Here is a 27,709-nt window from a genome sequence, read left to right as displayed (position 1 = left end):
TTGGAAACGCAATAATACACTAATACACATGTTAGAAAGGCTAAAATTAAAAAGAGTGACAATACCAAATATTGGGGAGGACATGGAATGGCCAGAACTCTTGTACATTACTGGTGGGAGTACAGAATGGTACTTTCAAGAACTATTTGTCAGCTCTTTATAAAATTGAACATACACCTGCCCTACGACCCAGCAATTCTACATCTCAGGAGAAATGAAACATGTCCATTGAAGGATTTGTGCCAGAATGTTTGTAGCAACTATATTCATGGTGGCCAGAAATGAGTAGTAGCCCAAATGTCCATTAATAGGAGAATGGCCTTGTGAATTATGATGTAGTTACACAATGGACATGTGAACTATGATATAGTTATACAATGGAGTGCTGTTCAGCAATGGAAAAAACAAATTACTAATACATGCATGAACATGGATAAATCTCAAAAAAAAAAAAAAAACACTGAGTGAAAGAAGCCAGGCCCAAATGAATGCATACTATATGACTGCATGTTTATGAAATTCTAGAAGAGGCAAATCTAATCTAGTGATGAGAATCAAAATGGCAGAACATTCCCTGGGGGAAGAGGACTGACTAGGGAAAAGAACCAAGACTTTCCAAAGTGATAAAATCTATATATACGTATCTCATTGCCACCACAGCCAAAAAGGAATCAATTTCTTTGCATCAGTATTTTCGCAGTGCTTCCCTATCCCTGTACACCAGGTGATTTTGGTGGACTTAAGTAAGGGTTGAAAAAGAATCTCTCAACTAGAGATTTTTAGAATCTCTAAGTTTTGTCACCAAGCACGATTTGTCTTTAATTTTACCAATAGGAACTAAAATATGCCTAAGTGAAGTAGTTCCTTACATAAATTTAAAATGAAACAACAAATAATGCCACTATTTTATACTCGAAAGAATGTAAAAGATTGCTATTAGTACTAAAAAAAGCATTTCTGTCTCTGGATAAACTTGCAGGCTTGTTGGCTGGCTGAAGAATGCATAAGTACTATGCTTCTAATTTTTGCCTCGGCTGTCAAGAAGTTCAGAGCCAAATTCAGTGCTCAGTTTAGTGATTAATATCCCAGCTGCCTGATATATCAATTTTTCTTGATTAGGTAGGGTATACAAGGTGGGGTATTAAATTATCCTGTTTCATACTGTAAACTACCTCAAATCATTTGGGGGAAATGATGGTGTATAAATCATATAAAATGTTGGTCATTTTGACAAAATTAAATATTTTTTCACTGCAGATAATAAATGCATTGTATGCTTCTCCTTGTTGTCAAAAAAGGTTAGATTAGGGAGGATTTTTGCTGTTACTTGAATGAGTCATCTGCTAAAGGTGAGTCACTCTCCGCCCAAATGACTGAGTGATGTAAAAAATACATCATTTTAAAATACAACCACATTGACAGGGAAACACTTCACTTATATTTGATTATAAGGGTGAGACTTGAGGAACCAATGTAAAAGTATAGAATACATTGAGTCCCTAATGGATCATAGATGGCAAAAGAAATTTAAGTGCACTTCATTACATTCTTAGAATAAAGAAATCAGATCTGTACGCAAATGTGCTTACTGCTATTCTGTTTCTATGATAACTGGTGCTGGCCGCTTTAATTTTATCAGCTGGCTAGGATATTTTCTGTCCCTTCTCATTTAACAAAACCATACAACCTTGGCCCTCAGGAGAAAATAAGATGTTTTTATTCCCAAAGGGCATATTCTAATGTAACATTAAGTTAGAAAAAACACACACAAACAACCCTCTCACCTGAGCTGCTTCATTGTTCATCAATCCAATCAGTTTCTCCTCTTTCTGCACTTTCCATGTTGCACAGGACTCAGCGCTTCTCTCACTGTGGACTTTTTTTTCGATTAACCTATTGTGTGCCTTGTTGACTTGCTTTGTTGCAGCCTTTTGTGAATCAACCTGTTGGTATAGAGTAAGTAATAATATATAATGAAAACTTTTGGTATTTCTCTAAAAAATGCATATATGTCCAGATTCTTAAAAGCTCTAAACTTGCCAAGCTTTAAAAAAGGAAATAAAGAGGAAAGCAGCAAGTGGACATTACAGAAAAACTATAGTCGTTGGCAAGATCCAGACCCTTTCTCATCAATGGGACAAAACCAATTAAAATTAGTGTCACTGCATGCACACGTATGTTTCTTACGGCACTATTCACAATAGCAAAGACTTGGAACCAACCCAAATGTGCATCAATGATAGACTGGATTAAGAAAATGTGGCACATATACACCATGGAATACTATGCAGCCATTAAAAAGGATGAGTTCATGTCCTTTGTAGGGACATGGATGAAGCTGGAAACCATCATTCTGAGCAAACTATCGCAAGGACAGAAAACCAAACACCGCATGTTCTCACTCATACGTGGGAATTGAACAGAGAACACTTGGACACAGGGTAGGGAACATCACACACTGGGGCCTGTCATGGGGTGGGGGAAGGGAGGAGGGATAGCATTAGGAGAAATACCTAATGTAAATGATGAGTTAACGGGTGCAGCACACCAACATGGCACATATATACATATGTAATAAACCTGCAGGTTGTGCACATGTACCCTAGAACTTAAAGTATAATAAAAAATAAAATAAAAAATAAAATTAGTGTCACTGTACTCCTTAGAAATTATCTCTACAGATAACTTGCTTACTGAAAACAGCATTTTTAGAGAAAATTGTCACATTTTAAAGCTGCACATGAATTCATTATTAACCTTTGCTGGGAGTGTATCCAGTATATCTTTGTAGTTTAAATTCTTATTAATTAAAATCTTAGTTTTCTATCATTGAAGTGAGCCTAATTAATGTGAATATATAAAAGGAGCTTGTGATGTTGCTTACATTTTTGTGCAGGTAGTTTAACCTTTGAGCAAGATGAATAACAGTTCATGTCATCGAATACTGTGTACCAGTATCAGAGGTTAAGTTCTTCTACAACAAGCTTGCTGTCTCTAAGGTTTCTTTTTCACACCATGATGATATCTGGGGGATGCCTGACTGTCAATAACCTTGAAGTAGACTCAGAAACAGAAGGGCAGAACCCACAACACTGTTGGAAGATTGAAAGCTACAGCGAAGGTCCTTATATGAAGTATTTGTTCAGCAGCTTCATGTTTATAGCAGCTGAAAGTGCCATCACCTTTTTTTCATGAGTTAAACAGGGGGCAGAAGATAGGAACAGCACAAAGGGGAAATAGTGAAGTAGCCAGTGCCAAAATAGAGAATGAATTACATTGGCTGGGCAAGCAGAGCCTTAATTTGTAGTCTCTCAATTTTTAGCTTTTATCGCCAAGTGTGTTCACTCCTTCCCTTTAAAATATGCTGGTGTTTTGTGGCTAAGCCTAAATTGTCACAACACCACTCTATTCTACCCTCCTCCAGGATCCCAGCTCAAAACCACTGCCTTTCAGTAACCTGAAAGTTGGAAATGTTTCTTAATCATGCAGGAATTCTTTATTTTCACCACTCAACCTTCCCAAACTACTGGGAAAATTTATGTCACCATCTTCTGAGCCACTTTCTGCTGAAGTCATCTTGGTAATAAATGTACCTGATACCATTAGTGTGAAACAAAGGGTCTCCCATGGTTCTTGCGTACTGTTTTATCCTATTAAAACATTGGCTTACCAATTCTTGTGAAAATGTGTTCCATGTTATAAAGGGTGAGATTTGCCCTCCCAGCTTTATTGAGATATGTTTGACAATAAAAATATATAAGGTATACAATGTGATGTTTTGATACATGTATACATTGCAAAATGAATACAACAATCAAGTTATTAACACATCACCTCACGTTAGTCACCATTTCTTTGTGTGAGAATACTTAAGATCTACTCTCTTAGCAGATTTCAAGAATACAACACAGTATTACTAACTACAGTCACCATGCTGTACATCAGATCCCCAGAACTCATTCATCTTATAACTGAAAGTTTGTACCTTTTGACTAGCATCTCCCCATTTTCCCCAGGTCTCATCCCGACAAATACTGTTCTATGCTCTGCTTTCATAAGTTTATTATTTTTTTTAGATTCCACCTATAAATGAGATCATACAGTATTTGTCCCGTGTCTGGCTTATTTCACTTAGCATAATGTCCTCCAGATTCATCCATGATGTTGCAAATGTCAGGATTTCCTTTTTATGGCTGAATAATATTCCATTGTGTGTGTGTGTGTATATATGTATATATATATGTGTATATGTATATATGTATGTGTATATATGTGTGCATATATACATATATATGTATATACATATATACACAAACAGACACAATATATATGAATAAAATACACTTTGTGGATAAAGAAAATGTGTTCTATAACCACAAATAATATTGTGGTTACGGACCACACTTTATCCATTCACCCATTGACACACACTTAGGTTGTGCTGTATCTTGATTATTGTGAATAGTGTTGCAATGAACATGGGAGTGCAGATACCTCTTTGACATCTGGTTTTATTTCCCTTGGATACATACCCAGAAGCAAGGTTGCTGGCAGTTTTATTTTTAGCTAAGATATTGAAGTTTTTAGTGCTTCCTATATGCTAGGCATTTTAGGTTTAAGAGTTTTTGCCCTGGGAGCCTCTGACGTATAAGCAAAATTCAGTATAATATATTCACTCCTCTGTGAAAGTTCCTGGAAGAGATGATGCCTCCTGGATTTGCTTTTAGTTGGCTGAATGGTTAGGCTGCACTGCCGTGGGCACTTCTAGCTACTAAACAAAATGATAGCCAATTAATGGAAAATCTTATTTCTAAGGAAACTTTTATTGTAAGAGTGAAGTAGATGATAGTGAACACAGTGAAACTTTTTCTCAAAGATAGAAAAATACAGAAAACACCCTGGGCATCCCTTATAATAGAAGGATACTACACAAATGTGTGATATTTTCAAGAAAGTAGGTATGAAAATGAGGTAGTTTTTATTTAATTTTCCATTGGAACTTCACACTGTTCTATAAAATCAAGAATACCTTTGGACTCCTAAAAATTAATAAACCAAAAATGTGCTTCTAATTAAGAATCTGTATTTCACTATCCTCATATACAGAAAATAAAGAGAAGTTCATAGAATTATTTTGAGACTTAAAGCTTAGGAAAAAATTTTGTAAACCGTTAAATTCTATACAAATACTACTACTACCAATAATAATATATTCAACTCTGGATATGCTATGGGAGCCTCAGATTTAAGGTGAATGAAGGGACAACCTTTTAGCTCTGACCTGCAGCTACTTCTCTGCCTAGCTAAAGCATTTAGGAAGGATGGGAGGGCTCATTATGCCCAAGTGTCTACACTATTACAATATACTAACATATTATAGTATATTACTGTATATTGTATATATGATTCAAGCACCATAATAAGGTGGGAGTCATTGATAAACGATTAAAAGGATCCTCTGGTTCTTGAAAAATAGCTTATTCAAGGGTCGTAATGGGGCCTTTAGTAACGCTGTTTTCCATCTTGGCTTTAACATTCTTATCTGGGAATTCTAGAGCTTTAGCTCACCTCAATAAGCATTCTTATTGAAATATTGTTTCTTTCAGTGAATTTTGGAAATTAAATCCTAGTGGGTGGCATAAAGAGACTGTGATGGTCTTGATGAGACAGTCTTCTAATTTGATTGGCGGTGCTAACTCAGGAGCCCCCAGAACTACTAGCAAGTGACTTCAGTTTTACATCCCTCATTTTGATTCAGGCAAATACCCCAAAAGATTTGTTTTTCATGAAAAAAATATCAATATCACTACTCTCTTGACAAAAATTCATTTCCAATTTAACTCCAATAACAATATTTGAGGAATTCTCTGTCCAGGTTTACAGAGAACAGTTTATAATGTCTAGTAAAATCCAGTATTGGAAAAAAAAAAAAAACTTTTTCTTTTGCAAAAAGGTGATGTAAGTTTGGTGAGATTCTTAGGGTAATGTGCTACCTTCTAATACCTAATCAAAATATGTTTTTCTTAAAAATACTGTTACTTCCCTCTGTATAAGTTTCATTTGTTATTAGCAAAATAACATTTAAAAATGTAAACAGTTACAACTTTTTTCCCTTGAATACTGAATGATGGTAACATTTTATTTATTTATGTATACCTTTTCTGGTCCAATGTCTTCTTTTAAAATATCTTTGTCCAAAAAATGTATTAGTCCAGAATTCATTCACTACTCTGTTAAACAGCTCTATAACTAAATACTTAACTACATATAACTATAAACCCATTTATAAAGTAACAAGAAACGATTTTAGTTACTAATAAGAGCATTCTGTCTGTGACTAAAAAGAAATTTGGAGCCATGTGATTGATATGCATTTTGGAATGATTTTTGTTATGGAAGCAATCTATTGTGGAAATCATCCTATACGTGCATCATTCAGGGGAACTGGGAACAGGACGGTTTATACTGTCATACCTTGCATTTGAACATTTTCAGGTTTGGTTTTTGTAGCACTGCAAAATCTGTAAACTTTGAAAATTAAGATACTTAAAGTTTAGCCACATATGGTGAGCCCATATCTTATGCTATCATTATTAAATATATGTATGCACTTAAAATACTATAATAAATAAATAAATATTGATCTGCTGCAAAATATATCCCCAAATCATCTTACTGTCTATACATCCAGGCTGATCACATACATTTCTTAACAGAAATTAGCGTAGGTCTTAAAAGCATGTATTATTTTTAAGTGCTTTTTTTACTCATAATCAAAATAATCAAAAGGGATAAAATATTCTTGATGGAGGCTCATTGGAAAAAGTGTTTTATGTTCTATTCTCTACATATAAAAATGGTTTCACAACAAACACCCTTTAATTTGATGAAACTGAAAATTCTGGTGGATAATAATCAGAATTTTATATCAGAGGATATAGCTATCAGTTTTTAAAATGGCTTCTTTTATATTTCAATTAAGTTTATGAAACTGAAAAACTACAAAAAGGGAAAAATCTACTTAAATTAGCATAGATTAAGTGGTGACCATTATTGCAACGAAAATACTACGTCAAGGAAATGGCTCTTTGTTTTGTTGCAAAAGTGATAAAAACACAAAAGTCAATAAAACTGTTAAAACAAGTCTCAGTAATTACCAAGATCAAAATCCAGTGGCTTTTTATTAAACATGAACTCTTGTTCTGCCTTCTGCAATACGTAAATAGTGCTGACAATTGGTTTGTGAGGCACTTGCTACAATAAAATCTAATTGTATCATGAGAGAAAGGTGACAATCAGGAGATCATGAAAAAATTACATATTCTCACTGGTAGTTAATTAGCCATGCAAAACCTCCTCAAACAGATATTCTCTTCTATTAGGAATGATTACTATGCAGGCCTACAGATGTCAATACCACAGTCATTCAAATACTTCTTTTCCTACTAATTGAAGGTTGTAAAGCTCTGGTGCCAAGGTTTTGCTTCCAAAGAGCTAATTTATGACTAGAAGGATATTTTATGTCTTCAGTTGCAGCAACTACAAAATTCAGCAAATCAGAACCATCTGTGCACTGATACTTGACTCACCATTCATCTAGCAGCCTATCAGTCACATTAGTTTGCATCCCGCATTCTTGGCTCATGAACACGTGTGATGATCCAAAGTTCATAAGAAATATTAAAAATGAATAGCATCCTGACCCTATCTTACTGTACATGCATCAGGAAAAAAATGCCCTCCACACTCTATTTGTGCATACGGATAGTGGTCAAGGAAGACATGGATGCTGAGTTGCCTGTCCACTATTCTTGCTAATAACGGCAGTCTAAGATTTCCACCACCCGCTTAAAAATGCTCGAAATCTTAATTTTTTTTTTAAGTTGGTGTTGGTCTTTGGGAAGATGGCAGACTAAAAGAAGAGGTGTAACTTTTAAAAAATGATTTTTTTTAACCTAGATCTCTGGCATAAACTCTTTTATTTTCTGTAAAGAACTGTTTCCATGGATTGAAATATCAGCACATACAAATAACCTGGTTAAATCGAAGACTGTTATCACCAAATTATGGCCAAATTGGTAGGCAAAAACACAGGGCAATATCTAAAGAAAACCTGGAGAAAAGAAGCAAATGATGGCTTTCTCATGAGTAACATCAGATTAGCCTTTACCCTAGTCACATCTCTATGACAGTAGTGACTGCTTTCTTTCATAGTACATAGTAGGCCACAGATCCTATTTTTCTCTGTGAGACAACAGGTCAAAAGAACTTGGAACAAACTTTCTTGGTGCTGAGTTAGGCAAAATGGGAGTTAAATATAAGGAAGAAGAAAGCTGTCAGACTCATTTTGAGACCTAAAACAATTTCATTCGATAGAAAAGTATCATAGAAGGTAATCATAGGATAGCAGGGATTATGTTACTTACTTTTTGACTGTTTGGAGTATGGACATTTATACTCTGTCCTTTTGTGGAAAAGTCCAGTGGTCCTAAAGGTATTCCATGAGGGTTCAAAATTTTCTTGAGGGCTTGATAGTTTGGCTTTTCATCATATGCTAAACTATGAGCACATACCAAAAATTGGGCTATTTCACCTGTGAATTATTAAATTTTTTACATGTCATTCACAATTGGCAAGAATTGTCAAGACTCCAGTAATCTCAAAATCTTTGTTATCTTTGTCTTTTACACATTTACATCTCCTGAAGAAACTAAAAATGAACAATTCAATGAAAATAACTTTTTAAATGATATTCAAAAATGACTGAAATATAGTGACCTACAGAATTGATGAGACAAACTAGTAATGTTTTTAACATATTTTTGTTGATACGCTTATAATTCACTGATCTTATGAGAGGAAGTATATTGTAATAATTATAGTGATTTTGATTTATGAGGTGCAACTATTAAGGACTACATAAATAATACAACTGACCATACTTCACACTTTATGCTGAACTTCTAAAAATTCAGTTAAAGTGTTACTTATTATAAACCTCTTTATTTCTAAGGAAAAAAACTGCAAATTTTAATTAAGGCTTTGATTTTGGGATTATAACCGTATATTTAGAAAGGACCTTGAATTCCATGTTGTTAGCTAAGATTGAATTTAGAATGTATGAAACCTCCCTCATGTCCTCCATACCTAGCTAGCCTGGTACACAGCCTCGTGTTTTTGATTTTAGAGCAGTGGGAGGAGGAGTTGCCATCTTTTATTTTTTCTCTAGTGTAAAGAAATGTTCCCCTAGAACTACATAGTAAACCCCCTTTCCCCAAAAAGGTTAGGAACTACCAACTTTTAAATACAAACAGAATTAGTAACCAACAGTTACAAACATCACTGCATTAAAATATTTGTAGCTTGCATTTCTGTTTCATGTTGAGGTTCAACCTAAAATTGGAATAGAAGTGGTGATAATACCAAATACTATTTAAAAACTGGCATGTTTTCATTTGTTCACAGAGATGTTTAGATATGCCTTTCCCTTTCAAAAATATATTACTGACTCAAACTCAAGTACTTCTTACTTTCTCACTTAGTTGCTTATATCCATGGTGGGAAAACCTGGGAAACTTCATGCGTTGGCAGGAGTGACTTCCTAATCCTTCACTTCCCCTCTAGGCCTACCTCCACTCAAAAGAAAGGAAAACTGCAGAGGCACTGGGTTTCACTCCCTATAGAGAAAAATTTCAAAAGGAATAGTCATCATCGCTTTCCCCCTATTAAAGTTAAGAGTGACCACTTTCACCATATAGTACAGAGCTATTTCCTGGGAACATGAAGCTAACGTGGTTAAAATGTAAACTCTTGGTTCTGGGCTTTTCTTCCTTGACACTGTAGCAATTATGCAACCTGTTTTTTTCATCTATTTTTATCAAATTCTGTTATCTAGCATTCGGTCAACCAGATCTCTGTTAACTAGCAAGTGCTGCTATTTTATCACCATATTTATAACTGATGCTTCATGCAGCCCCTTCACAAGGGCTCGGGGGTATCCAATTTCTAAAGGGATGATTAAAAAATTAAATTACATTCACTACTATTTTAATATAAATATTTTTGTTTTATGGTCCTGTGAAGATTGGTAAGCCAAGTTTGGTACATATTACAATTCCATTAACCAGAATATCCAAAATGAGGAAGAGAGTTGAATGTGCTGGGAACAAATCACTGTTACAAGACAATGGAAAACTCCTGGCACTCCACCAACTGATAGCAGCTGTGCTGCAAAGCCTTCATGGGACTGGGGTTTGGAAAAATGAGGTACCAGTGAGGTAGGAGGGGGAGAAAATAAAAAGAGCCATTTCCATTATAAATTTATTATTACAAACCTGAAGCGTAGATATTGTGATGTAATACTGGTTTAAATGTTAGTCTTTCAAGATCTGGATTTATTAAGTACATTTTAAAATTTACTAGCATATTGCCAGAACTATAAAGCAAAATGCCTTTAGTATGAAATTATGATTTTTTTAATCATCTGCTTTTTAAGCCAGTGAAGTATTAAGTATCATTACTATCAAGAGATAGAAACTTTTGAAACTATTATTATTATGCTTAGTTGGACATGTATGCTGCAAACTTCTGGCTGTTTTATTTCATAAAATGTTTCGGTAATAAACTTTTGTAAATCAGTTCCTTCATTTTCATGGTTGTGTTCTTCCTAAGCACAACCTCCTAATTTAAGAGACCTTCATGTAATATTAAAGTTTCAACACTTTTTGCTTTAGAAACAGAAATCTGCATTTTATAAATAATAGTATGGATTCAATAAAATGGTTTGTGCTAAGAAACAAAAACTGGGCTTGTCTCCCATCTAGATTACTCATCTGACTCAAATCTTTAACAATAGAGTATGACATAATATACACTGCCCACAAGCATTTGTCTTGTACAATTCAGGGCATCTGGGCTTTCTTACCCTAAACTGAACAGTTCCTTTTTCTGCAGGATTGACAAGAAAGGTAAGAGATATATATACAAACACATATATATCATATATATCATATATATGATATATATGTATCATATGATATATATGTATCATATATGAGATATATATGTATCATATATGATATATATGATATATGATATATATAAACACATGATATATATGATATATGATATATACACATATATGATATATGTTATATATATGATATATACACATATATATGTTATATATGATATATGATATATACACATATATATTATATATGATATATATACACATATGAGATATATATAATATATATGATATATACACATATATATGATATATAATATATGATATATATACACATATATGATATATAATATATATGATATATACACATATATGATATATATATGATATATATACACATATATATGATATAATATATGATATATATACACATATATATGATATAATATATATGATATATATACACACATATATGATATATATACACATATATATGATATATATACACATATATATGATATATATATATGTTAATGACATCTTCCCATCTTTCTGTCCAGTTGATTAAAAGATGAACTATACAACTTGGTAAAAGTGCCAATAAGGGCCAGGCGCAGTGGCCCACACCTGTAATCCCAGCACTTTGGGAGGGCAAGGTGGGGGGGATCACGAGGTCAGGAGTTTGAGACCAGGCCTGGCCAATATGGTGAAACCCTGTCTCTACTAAAAATACAAAAAGTAGCTGGGCATCGTGGCACGTGTCTGTAGTCACAGCTACTTGGGAAGCTGAGGCAGAAGAATCGCTTGAACCTAGGAAGGGGAGGTTGCACTGAGCCGAGATCGTGCCACTGCACTCCAGCCTGGGTGACAGAGCGAGACTCTGTCTCAAAAAAAAAAAAAATGCCATTAAGAATATTAGCCATAAAGGAGTACTGCCATTTTGACCAAGTTATTGACAATTATGAAAACAAAAATTTCATCTTGCAACCCATTCCCACAATGAGGATCTCTCCTGTGTGGCTCCCTCAATCCGATGAAAAGTACTAGAGAAAGGGGAAAACAAAAGACTCATGTGGGGATAGGCTTATTGGACTTGCAAATGGAGAGGGGAAGTAGAACTGGCTTATTCTTTCCTTTCCTCCACAAATGAAAATTTTGGTTTCCAGTGAAAGAAAGGCTGTGAATGTAAGTTTAAGATGACTTAACTCTCTAATTCTCAACCAGATGGAAACAGATGCTATTAGACCTTAGCTAGAGAGGTCAGTGTACATATCTACTTTCAGAAGTCAGCTCAAAGCTAACTTTGAGATTGTCCAGTGTAAACAGAAAACAAGATTCACTCTGATTATCTGTCTCTGAAAAAAAGCAAGACTGATAGTGGGCACTGGCTTTTTCGTATAAGACAGTCTAACTCAATTGTTAAATTAGTGTTGAATAACATGTTGTGTATGCACATAAAATGACAGGAATGTGGGTAATTACTAGTTGACGTGCTATTTTATACAATATGTATTGATAACATTGTCAATTAAAAATTCCATTGTATACTAACTTGAAAATATGAAATATACCTCCAAATCCCAAAATCATATGCCTTTGCTAATAAAAATTTTTTTTTGCTGGCAGTTCAGTCAGCATAATTCTGGTCTAAACAGCATTCAGTGTTTACTGATTTGGTTTTTTAAATGACTGATGAAAAGTAGTTTTTCCTTAGGTCAACTTTATCTTCTTTCAACAATATATAGAGGAACAAAACCAGGAAGTCTTAACTCTAGAAATACCAGATACGGTTGACTATTAAGCCTGTGCATGATTCTCAAAATAGAGATCTTAAAAAAAAAAAAAAAAGCACTAAGCAGAACCTAGAATTTTCCACCTCAATATCTTCTTTTGAGGTTTTTTGTGTTCTAATGTTAAAGATGATTTAAACATTGTGTTCTTTAGCAACTTATTTGCAACATGAAGAGTTCCCTCCTTCCCACCCTGATGGGAATAGGAGCAAGTGGGTTAAGCAAAAGCTACCAAACGATAACGACAAATGTGGCAACCTGTAAATCGTAAGAGAAGGTTGAAGTTATTATTTGACTTACAGCAACTGCTTCCAGAAGGAGCCCATTTAAGCACTGACTGGGGGAGCTCGTCCAACAGACTAAAACAAAATAAGGTAATGCACAATGAACATGTTTTCAACCCTGTGATTATTTTGACTAGAAAACAAAACACTCTATGTGTTGGTAGGTCACCAAAATTGTGACTTTCAATGCTTTTTTTTTTGTCACCCAACTATAATGGATAGGAAAGTAAGCAGAAGTAGAGGAGAACCCTCAATGCCCACAAACTAATTTTATATCAATAACCTAGACTAACGTAGGGGCAGAAAGGTGTGATCTCTTTTCTCACCCACCATAAGGGTTGCAGCCAACATTCCTATAACAAAAGACCAGTTAACAGGAGAAAGTATAACAAATTTATTTAATTAAAGTTTTATATGACACGACTTGAGAAATGAAGACCAAAGACCCAAGGAAGTCTATCTTTATGCTTAGGTTTGATGAAGAATAGACAGCTGTGTAGGAATGTGACTGGACAAAAGGGTATGTTCTAATGGTACTGAACTGGGGCGGGGGGATCCAGCAAAGCCTGTCCATATTCTTTTTTTTTTTTTTTTTTTTGAGACGGAGTCTCGCTCTGTCGCCCAGGCCGGACTGCGGACTGCAGTGGCGCAATCTCGGCTCACTGCAAGCTCCGCTTCCCGGGTTCACGCCATTCTCCTGCCTCAGCCTCCCGAGTAGCTGGGACTACAGGCGCCCGCCACCGCGCCCGGCTAATTTTTTGTATTTTTAGTAGAGACGGGGTTTCACCTTGTTAGCCAGGATGGTCTCGATCTCCTGACCTCATGATCCACCCGCCTCGGCCTCCCAAAGTGCTGGGATTACAGGCGTGAGCCACCGCGCCCGGCCCCATATTCTTGATGTATGTAGCATTTATTCCTCCTGGGGATGGGGCAGGACCCCTTTGGAATGAGGGTCTTAAAGGGAGAAGGGAGAGGGTGACCTTCCTAAGTTTAATGCCTTGCTTGGGGTACAGGGGTTCTAGTTTCTATAACCCGCTTTGGGGAAGAGGAATTCTGGTTTCTATGACTCTCTTCTTGGGAGGAGAAGGGATGGGAAACAAGAGGGCAGGAGAAGGTCAGAGTGAGACTTGGCTTCTGAGGTGGCTTCTGGGGCCATCCAGTCTCTTTCAGTTCAAAGGTCTCAGCATGCCAAAGCATCACACTTTGGGGTATTGCTCTCTGGGCCCCAATACTAAACAAGATGGAATTACAGGAATTATAATATAAATGCTTTAACTCAAAGTTTATGTATGCAGAAACACAGAAGTAGTAATATTTACCATGATTTTTTTTCTCAAAAACAACAATAAAAAATTCACGCAAACATTGTATCTAAGTATATATGTGCATTGTTCTCCACTGGGCAATATTTTATGCTGTCCCATGATTAAACAGGTTTGTGGGATGCTCAACTGGTAAGTATAATGCAAATATTCCAAAATCTAAAAATATCTGAAATCTGCAACACTTCTGGTCCCAAGCCTTTCAAGTAAGGAATACACAACCTATAAAAACATTCAACTAAAATTATTTATATGTGTGAGTGAGTCACCACCTCTGGCATAGGCAGAGTAGCAACAATACACACATTGATCCAGCAGCATGCTATGTCAGGAAAATAAAAGGCATAAGGGAGATACAGTGTCTTGGCTGAATATACAATCACACCCTTATGGGGAATTTCAGTGTCATACCTTCTCAGCAAGTTGAATAAATTATGATTATGTATTATGTACTATAATAAGTTTGAAAATGTCTATGGTTTATCTGAATTATAAACTTCATAATATGATATTGGCTTTACTAGTCTATAGGTTTACATTATTAATCAAGTCAAAATGAAGATATTAACATATGTAAGAGTCCCCAAAATGTAAATAGAAGTTATGCTTGATTTATTAGCATTATACATGTAAAATAATAATTTTATATGACATCCTATTATAAATATGCATAAGCAGGTATATTCATTATAGATACCTATAATGAATGTATCTGTATATGCATATTGATAAAAAGTTAAAGCAAGTCATATTAGTCTTATCAAAAAACAAATATATAATCATTAGAATTAAAATGTTAGTTTTTTAAAATAGCATCATTACTTTATTACAGTATTCTAATTAGGTAAACTAGTTGGAAAATTAAATACAAAAACTGTTTATACATCACTGTGTTTTGACTTGACCCATATTTCGAAATGTTACATGAAAGTTAATATGGACACATCAATCACTGCAGTAAATAACTGATTTAGTTCTAATATAGATTTATATAAATGTTTTAGTTTTGGGTAAGGGACTAGGATGATCAAAATTCTGAGTGGAGAAATGTTTCATATATGTCAGTATTTACAAATGTAATATGTATTTTTCTGAATCTGCAGGCTAATCTTTCTCAGTATTAAGAACTGATGCCACACTGAATTTAAAGATAGATTTCTATGAATCAGCTAATTTTCCCCTGGCTTTGTACTCTTCTGTTGTGATTTTCCTACTTAAAACTTAGCTTAGCTGCTGCTTTTGCTACCTGTGGATAACTACTGTTGAGCATATCTTGGTATATAATGAAAAACTGGCTATTCTGTGCTCTATGCAATTGACTTTTTCTTAGGCCTGATCAGTGAGAGAATTGTAAAACAGTAACACACCCTGTTCTTAGTCTGACCTAATTTTTATGCTAGCCGAATCCAGGTAATAAAAACTGAATGTAGAATATTAAAAATGTTTATGTGGCTACAAGATTATCTCATATAAATAGCTCATGTAAAAATTTTGTTTCTTAAGAAAGAAAACATACTTCCTCCAAGACAGAAATAAGAGGTATGTTGCTCTCACTTGAAAAATATAAGCCCTATTTGTCCCATTTCATAGTGCTGTTTTACACAGTTAATATCAATCGTACCAAGCTCAGACTACTTCAACATACTTGTACAATGCTAATTTGAAAATATTCTTCCTTGAAAACACTACCACCTAGAATCTAAGCTTTGGAAATACCATGTAAAAGAACAGATATTTCACTTTATATTTTGCACTGTAATTCAAATACATGTCTTTTTACAATGTTACCTTAATGGATTTTATGTGTTAGTTGTTTGGTTTTTTTAAAACATATTTTTCAAACTAAAGAAATTTGCTTTGGTTGTCATGTTGGGTGAATGCCAATCTTCTCTGTGTTGTTAGCTCCCTTTAATGTATCCCTTCAGACCTGGTGCAGTACATGATGAAATACTTGAAAATTTGTACTTTGTTTTAGCAGTCTGCACAGCCACAGGGTCCTTCAGGTTCTGTTCCCAGGGAAGTTTCCCACACAACCACCGCAGCATGCAGTAGCCGAGGATCTCAACGTCACTTCGTCTGGACAAGGCTATAGGAGTAAGCATTAGAGAGAAAGATAAGGGATAAGCAAGTCCTTGAGAAATGGAGAAATCTTTGGTTGAACTACTACTGATGAAATATGAAAAAGCCAAATAGGCAAAATGTTTTATTTGTTCAGCTGGAATAAAACTTAAACGCCCAAGCATTTGGCCCCAGTCCACAGACAGGCAGTGACTGGTTGCTGTTGAAAGTAAGGGTCAGTTTCCTCACCTCCTCCAACTTCATCTTTCCTTAGTCTGGCCTGTCACATGAACTTGATCCCCATGGCCTCTGACATGATCCAGACAACCCATAACCCAGCACCAACACTTTCTCAAAGAGCCAAGCAGTAAAACAAAGAAATAAATGTCTGCAGCTAAATTACTAACATATGTTCCAGGAAGTCCATAGGGTCTGCATTGGTCATGCAGAGACCCTCTGAGTGCAGACTAAACATTGATGGCCTTTCCTGTTCCACTCACACTAGCAGCATTTGAAGTTGGAAGAATATGACAAAACTGCCATCTAGTGTGCAGTATTAAAAAAAGGGTCTTTCTGAAGATTTTTCAATCACATGAAAATACAATAAAAATATATCTACTGCTTTGGATAATTTTACAAATATTATTTTTAGATATAAGCAGCAGCAGGCTAAAATTCTGGTCCCATATCTATATAAAACGGAGGCAATGGTATCAGAGGCTGGGGGGAGAGCCAAATAGAGGCCTTCAAAATTTAGAATAAGATGCCTTTTCCTAAAAAGTACGTTAAAAGCACATTTTCAGGCCCTTGTATCATTTTATATCAACCTATTAAATGCTGTAGTCTAATTTCATAATTTATATATATTTATAAGTACCTTATATAAGAAGATGGACAATGAAACCTAGGAAATGTATGAAATATAACTGATACATATTAACAAACCACTGAAATAATTATTAAAACATCAGCAAATACCCGTAAAATAAACTCATTTTTGTAGTCATTCAAAATTGTTATAAAACAATAGGCTGGTATTTACATTTCTGTCATTACTCGAATGTTCATCTGTGTAGGGATATATAATCTCCTAAGAGCAGTAAGTGGCTGTTAAACCTGCTATAAACAGGTATCCTATTTTATTATCTTTCATGAAATAAACTCTGAAAAGTTACTCAGTGAACTTAGTTTTTAATTTAAAAAGTCATCTACTAAGAACAATGATGCCAACACATCGTAACTACTTTTGGTTACCATGTATAAGTTATTATAAAAGCAGAAGACATGATTAGCTCTTACACTCTAACTGCTATTAGCGTATTGGATTATTAAAGGCCCTTCAATCTAGCAGAATGCTACAGTCCCATGGGTGCCATTTACTTTCTGCACAAGCTTCAACAATGTCCTAATGCAAGACTTGGCTCTCATATTAAAATAAAAACACAATCTCTACCACAGTGTTCTGTAGTGATTTCTTCAGTAATAAATCTCCCATTAATAATGGAATGGTTCCACTTGTACAGATGTGTTCACAAGTCTCCTTTCTATTATGGCAATTCCTGATTACCATCACTTAAAAAATCTCATATCCTCTAATTTTCAAAAAATGATATTCTGGCACAGTGTTTGGATGATATAAGCTACACACAAGAGGCCCTTTGAGGAAAAATAATCAGAATTAAAATAGATTGAACCTTCCTAGCCATTTCCCCCTACCCCCCAATTGAGGGATTAATTGATATGAAGCTGTAAGTAATGACAAGTCATTTAGATTTCTGAAGCCAATCTTTCATAAACTGGTCTTCATTTGAAATAGCCCTTTGAGAGTTAACTTTACTTCACTATTATAGTTTGGTCTTACCTAATTAAAATACATTATCACATTTTTCAATCTTTTATTTTCTTTTTTGCACATCGGTATTAATAACTACCGTTAGGTGAATGTTTTGCCACTGTTTCTGATAAGTCCTGCATAAATGCATGCAGTGATAAAAAGAACACCCAATAGTCACCCTTTCCTTTCCCCACACTGAAGAGTGACTAAAAATGTTTCTGACTACATACCTCTACCTGAAATTCCCTCTCAGAAAAGCAAATTGAAAAGTTTGAATGTTTAGTGAAGTTAAAATCTTAGACTTTGCCAATGATTGTCTTCTTTCCATCTACTGTACACAGAGGAGTAATTTTAATACCTGTTAAATTAATTAAAAACAAATGTTCTAGATGACAATATTAAAATCTATGTATGCATGTATAGTTTACACAAAGAATTGATTATAGTCTGAGACTATTAATGTCTAACTATAAAAATTTTTTTTTAATTTGAAAGTTGCTTCTTTAATTATACAATTTTCAAATTCATTTTAAAACATATTAAGTGAAGCAGTAAATAGAGCTCTGGACTAGGAATGAGATCCAATTCTATCCCTGCCACTAATATTTTACATTTTCAGCTCTAAAATCAGATGATACTGTGCAATGTATTTCTTTTTAATATATTTTCATTCATTTGAATAGAAAATACATTATGCACTGTTTTGTTTCTGAGTCATGTATTTGCACAATTTATTGTAATACATAGGGTTCTTCAGTGGCATTTGGTAATTAATGTAATTATGGACAGTATATTTTCATGCAGATGTCCTAAAATGAAGTGTTTACTTATTATTGCTTGGAACTGTAATGAGATTTAGTTTAGATTTCTAAACTTTCTCAAGTTAGTTTCTAAATATTATTAATAGCATCTAACTTATATTGAGCTTACCAATATGCAGTAATATACATCACTCTTTTTGTTGAAAGCCTGTGGTATTCTCAAATGTTCTACATTTCTAAATTATAAAGTATTGCCAAAGTAAAAACAATTAGAAAGAAATAGGCACAGGTGAGGATTTAAATTCTATTTAACTAGAAAGAAAATTTTAGAAATGGCTGATAGTAGAACGCATAATTAAAATAAAAACAATTGATGTGATTTATGGAGAGCCGCTACTATGCCTGGCACTCTACCTGCTTTTTATTATTTCATCTCATCTTTCAAACAATTTAAAGTAAGTATTAGCCCTATTGACAAGTAACAATATGGAGTCTCAGAGAGGTTAAATAATTTGGTCAATATCACAGAGCAAAAATTAATAGAGCTCAGCACTGAAATCCAAGTCTTTCAAAAACCAAAGCCCGTGCTCAATCTTGCAATTACTTTGTTGCCAGGCGCGGTGGCTCATACCTGTAATCCCAGTACTTTGGGAGGCTGAGGTGGGCAGATCACCTGAGGTCAAGAGTTTAAGACCAGCCCGGCCAACATGGCGAAACCCCATCTCTACTAAAAATACAAAAATTAGCGGGGCTTTGTGGCACACACCTGTAATCCCAGCTACTCAGGAGGCAGAGGCAGGAGAATTGCTTGAACCCAGGAAGTGGAGGTTGTGGTGAGCCGAGATAGCACCACTGTCCTCCAGCCTGGACAACAGAGCGAGACTCCATCTCAGAAAAAAAAATAATAATTACTTTGCCTCCATCATTAGTTTTAATACCATTCAAACAACATTACACACAGGACTTCCATAGTGAGGAAGGTATTTGAAGCAGGCATTTAAACTTAAAGCACCAAGACATACTGACACAAAAATAGTTGTTTTGGCAAGGAATAAATGAGTGGAAGATCTGGATATCTAAGCTGCAGCACTGACCAAATTTTTCATGTTACTATCCTTTCATGAAACTATTTCTTTCAAGTTATTTCATTCCAATAAAGAAGGATCTTTAGTTAAAATATTTAATTATAAAGTGACAAACGGTCCTTCTAAACTGGTATAAGAACAACAGATAAGTTATCTTAGCGAACTAGTCCTTGGTTTAAAGACAAACTGGAATAAAATTAACTAGCCCAATTCACCAAATGGACTGAAAGAGGAATTGGGAGAAAAAGAAAAGTCTAAGTATTAATTCCAAGATTTATCTCCCTGTTTGCCTAAAGTGTTTTCTGTTTATTTCTTATACCGAGTAACATTATGGAGTATGAAGAAAAACAGGGTTCGGTAGGAAATAATGAAGTGAACTTGAAAATTTCTGCATCAAGCAGAGTTCAAATGCCCAAAATATTAATATGTGTGCTCAGAAAGACAATAAGAAAGCAGAAAACATCTGAATAAGATGTTCACCTGACAAAGTGAATGGTGACTATCTGCAGAACAAATTTAAAGTCTATTCTTAGTTTTCCAACTGGTAACCTATGTAATTCAGTATTTTGTCAATTCTGATGTATAAAGATCCAGAATATTTTATGGTGACCATGACTTACTGCAATTTCAAAAAGGATATCAGGAAATATTAGGATGCAATGTGTCATATTTCAGATAAAATATTAAACCCAGGCCTCTCTTATTTTTTCAGTACCTTTTAAATTAAGCCCTAGTTTTGTGTGTGTGAAACTTAGGAAAAGTCATTCAATAGAGCAAATGTATCTTAGACTTGGCCAATGTAAGTATTCTTAACCCAATCAAAAGGCCAAGACATAAGTATTGCGTAAACCATGTCATTTCCCCAAGTTTGGTAGCACGAAAATACATTCTCAGTTTATTTCACATATATTTTGTAAGTTGGAGTGCTAGATTAGAGTGAAATGAAACCATGAAAGAAATAACACAAGACTTGGATTTCACATACCGTAGCAATTGGCAAAAATTAAAAAAAAGTATGCAATATATTTATTTCTTTGATACTAAACATATTAGATAAATGGACATTTAAAATACAATTTAGATATCATATTTTATGGTCATCAAAGATGTCAAATTAAGATAGGTATTACAGACTCAATGCACAGGTCTGAAGTATTTAAAAAAGCTCAATATGTTAAATGCAGTATATCTCTAGAGAAATTAGGTATTGACTGCATGCCTCAGTGAGTAGAAAAATCTACAAAAATCTATACCACACATTGATTCAAATATTGCTTTTTAACATTACTAAGAATGTAACCAATTTTAAAATACTATATTTGACACAAATATAATTCTCTTTAATTATCAGACAATAAGCCCAAAATATGTCAGTGTTTATACATGTTAGTTTTTATAAAGAATAAAAAAATTATAGAAGAAATAAGCCCAACATATATTACTCTAATTTTATACTAAATGATGCACTTTAGCCACTTACAAAATACCTGTAGGTCACACAAGAGAATTGAGTTTGGAAGAATAAACACAATTTTTAAAAAAACATACAGATATGCAGATGTACAGGAGTTCTAGGAATAGTTATCCATCCATTCATCCATCTGTCCATCCATCACGATACATCTCCATGCATATCTTTTGGTAATAACATAATAGCTAATTTTTTTCCCTTTCAACTACTCTCCTTTTATGTAAATTTGAATTAGAAAATGCTTAGATGTAATGACTGAATGGCAGCTTATACAAGTTCCTTCATTATAAAAACTCAATCCATAGAAAAATGAGATTTAGCTTGAGTTTTTAAATAACCTGCTACAAAAAGTAGCACAGAACAGACAGTCTGATCAGGCTAATAGCAGTCTCTATTGAGTGGCTAACTCATAAGTCAGTTTTACATTGAAGCTTGAGTATTTCTCTTCAGGTCTCTTGGCCTGACCAAGAAATAGACCTGACACTTGGCAAATGCTCTGGCACCTAGAAGTTCTATATCCTAGTGACTTTTTTTTTTTTGCTTTTTGTACTTTATTTTGCACTATTTTTCCTCAGTATTTGATCTCATAGTTGGACTGAAAAAAAGATTTTTCTGAGATTACATAGTGGCTGTACTGAAAGTAAACACATGAATATTTATGAATCTGACCTGCATTTTCCTATAGGCTTTATGGCATTGTTTATTCTGGTTTCTAGATATGGCTAAATGATTATTTATTTTCTAATAAAATCCTCAACTGAAATGTTTTGCTTTGGAAAATTAAATGTAAAACATAGGAGTGAACAGTATTCAGACATTTGAGGATGTCATACATTCCATTTTATATCCCAGACTAAAACTTCACATTAAAATGTCAGCAAATATATATGTGGGTGTATATATCTATATATGTGTGTATATATGTGTACATATGTGCATATATATGTAATGTGTATATCTATATTTATATCTGTATCTACATATATATATATCAATATGCCTAGAATTTTAGTGTAAATCCTATTTAAAATGCATTAAGGAAATCTACTATTTTATAAGAATCTGGTAAAACCTTTGATAAAAATGAATGTTCATTCTATCATATAACTTTTCAGCAAATCCCAAAAATATTTAATGTAGGTTCTTCCCTGAATATACCTCCCCCAGGGATGTAACACCATCTTTCTGTGATCATTCTGTGATCATTCTCAGTTCAGTCTTCTCCCCAAAGACCGAGGGTGGTGAAATCTTACCAACATATTCAACATGTATTAAGATTTTAGAATAAAAAATATAAGTAGACTAAAAAATAAAAATGTGTTCAAATCTTTCAAGAAGACAACACAATGAAAACGACACCCTAAACAATGAAATTAATTGAATAGGTCTTTCAGATTTACCACAGTCCAAACACTGACCATACCAACACAAAAAAACTCTACTTCTCTTTCCACAATCACAGTGATTTCTTAGCAATTCCACTACTCAAAACTAGATCAGAGCAGTTTAGAGCTACCAGTTGAAATAAATGACTCAAACATAAGTTGGTATCATTATTAATATAACTGGGCCAATGCTTAAGAACCTGTATGATGAATTTCCAGTTATACCATTATCAAAAAAGTACTTACTGTTTCTAAAAATTCTATTAGGTGTAACAGAATAAAATATTTAATTCTTACATTTCTTGAGCATTTAATTCTCATTTCTTAATGTAAGATACGTCCCATATTATCTTTAAATTCTCACTAATTTATTAACAATATGAATACTGAAAAATCACACAACACTACAAAATTTCTTACTGATTATTACTTTTCTAACCAAACTATACTTGAAAAAAAATGTAGTCATTTCTTTTACTTTGATCAGGAATATAAAAGATAATTTCCGTTTCAGAAAATCAAGCCTATGAATCTTTCTGAAAGGAAGAAGTTATACTTGTTTTACTTTTGCATTGGCCTACCTTAAGCTAGTATGGGTTTTAATGCCCTGCAAAATGATCAAGACCCTCTACATTACATGGTCAATGGTCCTTTTAATAGAAAAGGCAATAATATACAGTTGTCTTCACCAACTAAAACTTGTTAGAAGGCATCAGTTTAGGGTAACAGTTCAACAACCATTAAGAAGTGCAAATATCTAATTGTCTTTTAGTAAAAATGTGGTCCTTTCAAAACTGTTTAAAAATTGTTTGGTTTAGCATATTTGAAAATACTTTTATAAACAAAGTTTACAAAGAATATAATTTTGAAAGCCAAAGTTTTTCAATAATCACCATTTTTTCACTAGCATAACATTAGAATTGACTTTTTGTGTTGCTGACAGAGCAACTAAGAAAGTACAGTTGCATTGACCATATTGATTGTGAACAAAGCAACCATCAGTGGGACTCGGCACCATATATTTTCAATATTGACCTCCTACTTCCTTTTCCATGGCTTTCTGGGTCGGCTATTGGATTTGGACTGCAGTGTAATAAACAGCTAAGGTTTAATTAATGGTAAATGAATACAAGACATAGGTTATGACTTTAACTAATTAGGGAATTGTTGAATTAAGTCTGCCTTGGAATGCAAGGCAGTACAATCAATATCCAATAAAAGGACTATGTATGTAATTTACCTGCAAATGTGTTTCCAATACCATCAAAGTGAGTTTAAATAAGTAAGATATATGAAAGGCGACTGGGAGAGATTTCCACAAATTAACACTTTATGGTTTCAGAAAAAATAACCTTACTGCTGAGAGATGTATCTTCTAAAGCTTTGGTAAAGGTACAATGGAAAAACAGGAATAATTGTTCGTATGTGCAACTTTTTTTTTTTTTTCTGAGGGGTCTTGCTCTGTCGCCCAGGTTGGGGAGCAGTGGTGTGATTATGGCTCACTGCAGCCTCAACCTCCTTGGCTCAAGTGATCCTCCTCCCACCTCAGCCTCACAAGCAGCTGGGACTACAGGCAAGTGCCAACCCTTTTGTATTTTTTTGTAGAGATGGGGTTTCACCATGTTGCCCAAACTGGTCTTGAACTCCTAGACTCAAGCGATCCTCCTGCCTCAGCCTCCCAAAGTGCTGGGATTATAGGTGTGAGCCACTGCACCTGGCCCACATGCAACTTTACCAAATCTGTAATATTCACTTCAGTATAAACATTCACTGCTGACCTCCAAGTTTTACCTATACAAACTGTGGCTTTCTGGCTAAAATGAGCAGCAAGTTTTGCTTACTTGACACACTTTTGCTCCTTCACCACTTGTCACAGTCTAAATTTCTTTCCACTGTTAGAAGAAATATTCATTGGCATAACAGGAATTCATTACTTTTGATAAAAACCTCACCAGTGCTCTTATGCTTCAAACTGACTATGCAAAGGTCATTTCATGCAGCCTCATTACCCTTGTCTCTAATCATTCTTCTGAAATAAAAATAAGAAAAAGAAAAAAGAAACCCACCTACTCCCTTGTGGGCATCCAAGCTGGTAAACTCTATTGTCCCATTATGGCCTTTTCTAGGATTTTCCTGATACTGTTTGTGGTTCCCATTGGGACAATATCTGTAGGAAAGTCCATAATCTGCAAGATAAACCTGGAAGACAAGCACAGACAAATGAATAATGCCTTTGTCCTCTGAAAACATAACCTTTATAATTAAGTCTTAAGAAACTGATAGGTTAAGAACAGCCTCAGATCTACATTTTATTAAACCAAATGGTGCCTTAGGATAAAATATGTACAACTGGGGGCCATAACAACTAACTTTCCAACTTAAATCCTTTCTTCATCATTGGCATATCTTATTTCTGAGTTGACTTAGATTTTTAATCTTTTTATTTTGCTCCTAAATTCCCTTCCCTCCAGGTGGGCATCTAGACATCATAAACCACAATATGTCTTTTTATCTGTATTCACACAGTTGAGGAGGCTCTGCTTTTTCCTGTAACCCCTCCCTGAAACATAAAACTATTTCAAGCAGGAAGGGGAGATAAGAGCAAACATTCTAAAAAGATAAAGTTGATTCTTGAACAACATGGGTTTGAACTGCACAGGTCCACTTATATGTGGATTTTGTGCTGCTTCTGCCATACCTGAGATGGCAAGACCAACCCCTCCTTCCTCAGCGTACTCAACGTGAAGACGATGAAGACCTTCATGATGATCCACTTCCACTTAATAAACAGTAAATATATTTTCTCTTCCTTATGATTTTCTTAACATTTTCTTTTCTTTAGCTTACTTTATTGTAAGAATACGGTATGTATAATACATGTAACTATAGAATATGTATTACTCGATTGTTTATGTTATCAGGAAGGCTTCTGGTAAACAGTAGACTATTAGTAACGTTTTTGGAGTCAAAAATTAAAATTATGCAAATTTTTGACTGTGCAGGGGAGTGGGGGTCAGCACCCCTAACCCTGGCATTGTCATAGGTCAACTGTAAACCTAATGTTATGAGTCTCCTTTAACAGGAAACATAATGATAGTGAAGAGACTGTAAGAGGTAATGACTCAACCAAAACACAAGAAACACCACTATTTTATCTGTATTTATGAATGGAACATCAATGCAGAACTTTTGACCTTTCATATGAATCCATATTATCACTGTTACCTTTCTAAGTCAGTTAGAATTGCAAGCAGGGTCTCCAAACAGAATACAGATTGTTAAAAGTCAGATAGCAATTCAAGTGAATTTACCTCAGATTACTTTTGGAGAGAAAAGGAAGGGGGAGAAGTAGTTTTACAGACAGACCATATACTGAATGGAGAAGTGTTTTGACTAGACATTTACTGTGACATGTAGTCAGAAAATAGTAGTTCCCAACTGTGGTTACCATTCCCCCTCCCCAGAAAAAGAAAGCAGTTTCAACTTGGAAAATGTATCATTTCATACACATTTCTTTAAAATTAAGGGATTTAGGCAGTATTTCATAATGCAGCTTCAAGACAATAGAGTATTTACCATACAATCTGCACTTTAAAATGTATCTATTAAGAGGAAATTCTGCATTTGAATTTTAGTTTAAGTTTTTGGTTTTAGGATAGGCTCAGTAAGAGATATTTTAAACTTTAAAATATAAACAGCACAGAGTTTTCTTCATTTGTTGGAGTAACTTGCAAGGCTGTCTGAAAACAAATATTTCAGTTTGTCTCTCTTTCCCACAGATGCTGTTTCTTAACATGGCCTCAGAAGTAATTGATCTCTCTGCCCTAACTTAACTAGACATATCAGGATCAGATATGGAACAGGTTGCTTGCTTTCACTGTGTCTGATGCATTTTTGTCTTTATTTCAAGAACTAAACAGGCTTCACATTACAAAGCAGATATCAGAAAAATGAACATACTGATAATTACACAAATGGAATTGTATTTTAATATAATAGTTTACTATTTTAAAAAAGAGCTATCAAGAAGCTGTTTTATGTACTCACTAGCACAAAGAAATAAGACTTAAATTTTATGAGGTGCCTACTATGCACCAAGCAGTATGCTAAGTGCCTTACATCCGCTGATGCTGTAAGTCCCCTTATCTCCATTTTATTCATCTGGAAACTGAAGTTTAGTGAGGTTATGTGGCTTGTGTAGTAAAATGAAGTCAGGAATCTATGGCAATTCTGACTCTAGAGCTTTTACTCTCAATCACTGTCAAAGGGCAATAGTACCAGTCAAGTTAAAAACATAAGACTTTATTCGAGACTACTGCAATAGGAGAGAGGCGAGTGCAATATAGATGAGAGTTTGAACTAAACTTCAGTGAAACAAAAGGTGGGAGTTTTAAAGCACTGGGGTGAGACAGTAGAAAAGTACCAGAGGATGTTACAGCAAGGCTGGTCAATGTGATCACGCCATCTATGTTTGCTAATTGGTACTAAGGCTCCTACCTCCCACAATGACTAATATCCTGCAAAGGAATGACCATCTTGGGTTATACAACTGGCAGGTGGCTGATAGAAAACTTGTATCTCAAAGGGAAAGAAAAGAATTTTTAATTTCAAGTATTCTTAAGTTAATGCTCTAAGAAAAGAGACGTCAGGGGCCTACAGTCAGGAAGAAGACTGTCAAGTTGTGTCAAGCTAAGGGGAATATTAAGGCTGTCTTTGTCATCACTAAGCTACAGGCCTCTGGGTTGTGCTA

At 34.5% G+C, this 27,709-nt stretch overlaps 1 protein-coding gene across 16 annotated transcripts in view; it reads right to left on the bottom strand.

Annotated features, from left to right (window-relative positions):
- Nucleotides 1-27,709, bottom strand: part of VRK2 (VRK serine/threonine kinase 2) — a 252,329-nt gene that overhangs the window by 11,662 nt on the left and 212,958 nt on the right. For all 16 annotated transcript variants that reach the window (NM_001288837.2, NM_001288838.2, NM_001288836.1 and 13 more), the window contains 5 exons: nucleotides 25,026-25,158; nucleotides 16,331-16,451; nucleotides 13,060-13,118; nucleotides 8,427-8,593; nucleotides 1,785-1,943 (listed from right to left, as the gene is read on the bottom strand). In NM_001288837.2, the coding sequence (NP_001275766.1) occupies nucleotides 1,785-1,943; nucleotides 8,427-8,593; nucleotides 13,060-13,118; nucleotides 16,331-16,451; nucleotides 25,026-25,158 (639 nt within the window). The remainder of the gene's footprint in view (nucleotides 1-1,784; nucleotides 1,944-8,426; nucleotides 8,594-13,059; nucleotides 13,119-16,330; nucleotides 16,452-25,025; nucleotides 25,159-27,709) is intronic.

The sequence above is a fragment of the Homo sapiens genome, chromosome 2 (genome assembly GCF_000001405.40).
Source record: "Homo sapiens chromosome 2, GRCh38.p14 Primary Assembly".
In the NCBI taxonomy this organism is placed as follows: Eukaryota; Metazoa; Chordata; class Mammalia; order Primates; family Hominidae; genus Homo; species Homo sapiens.
This window is presented reverse-complemented; position numbering and strand designations above follow the sequence as displayed.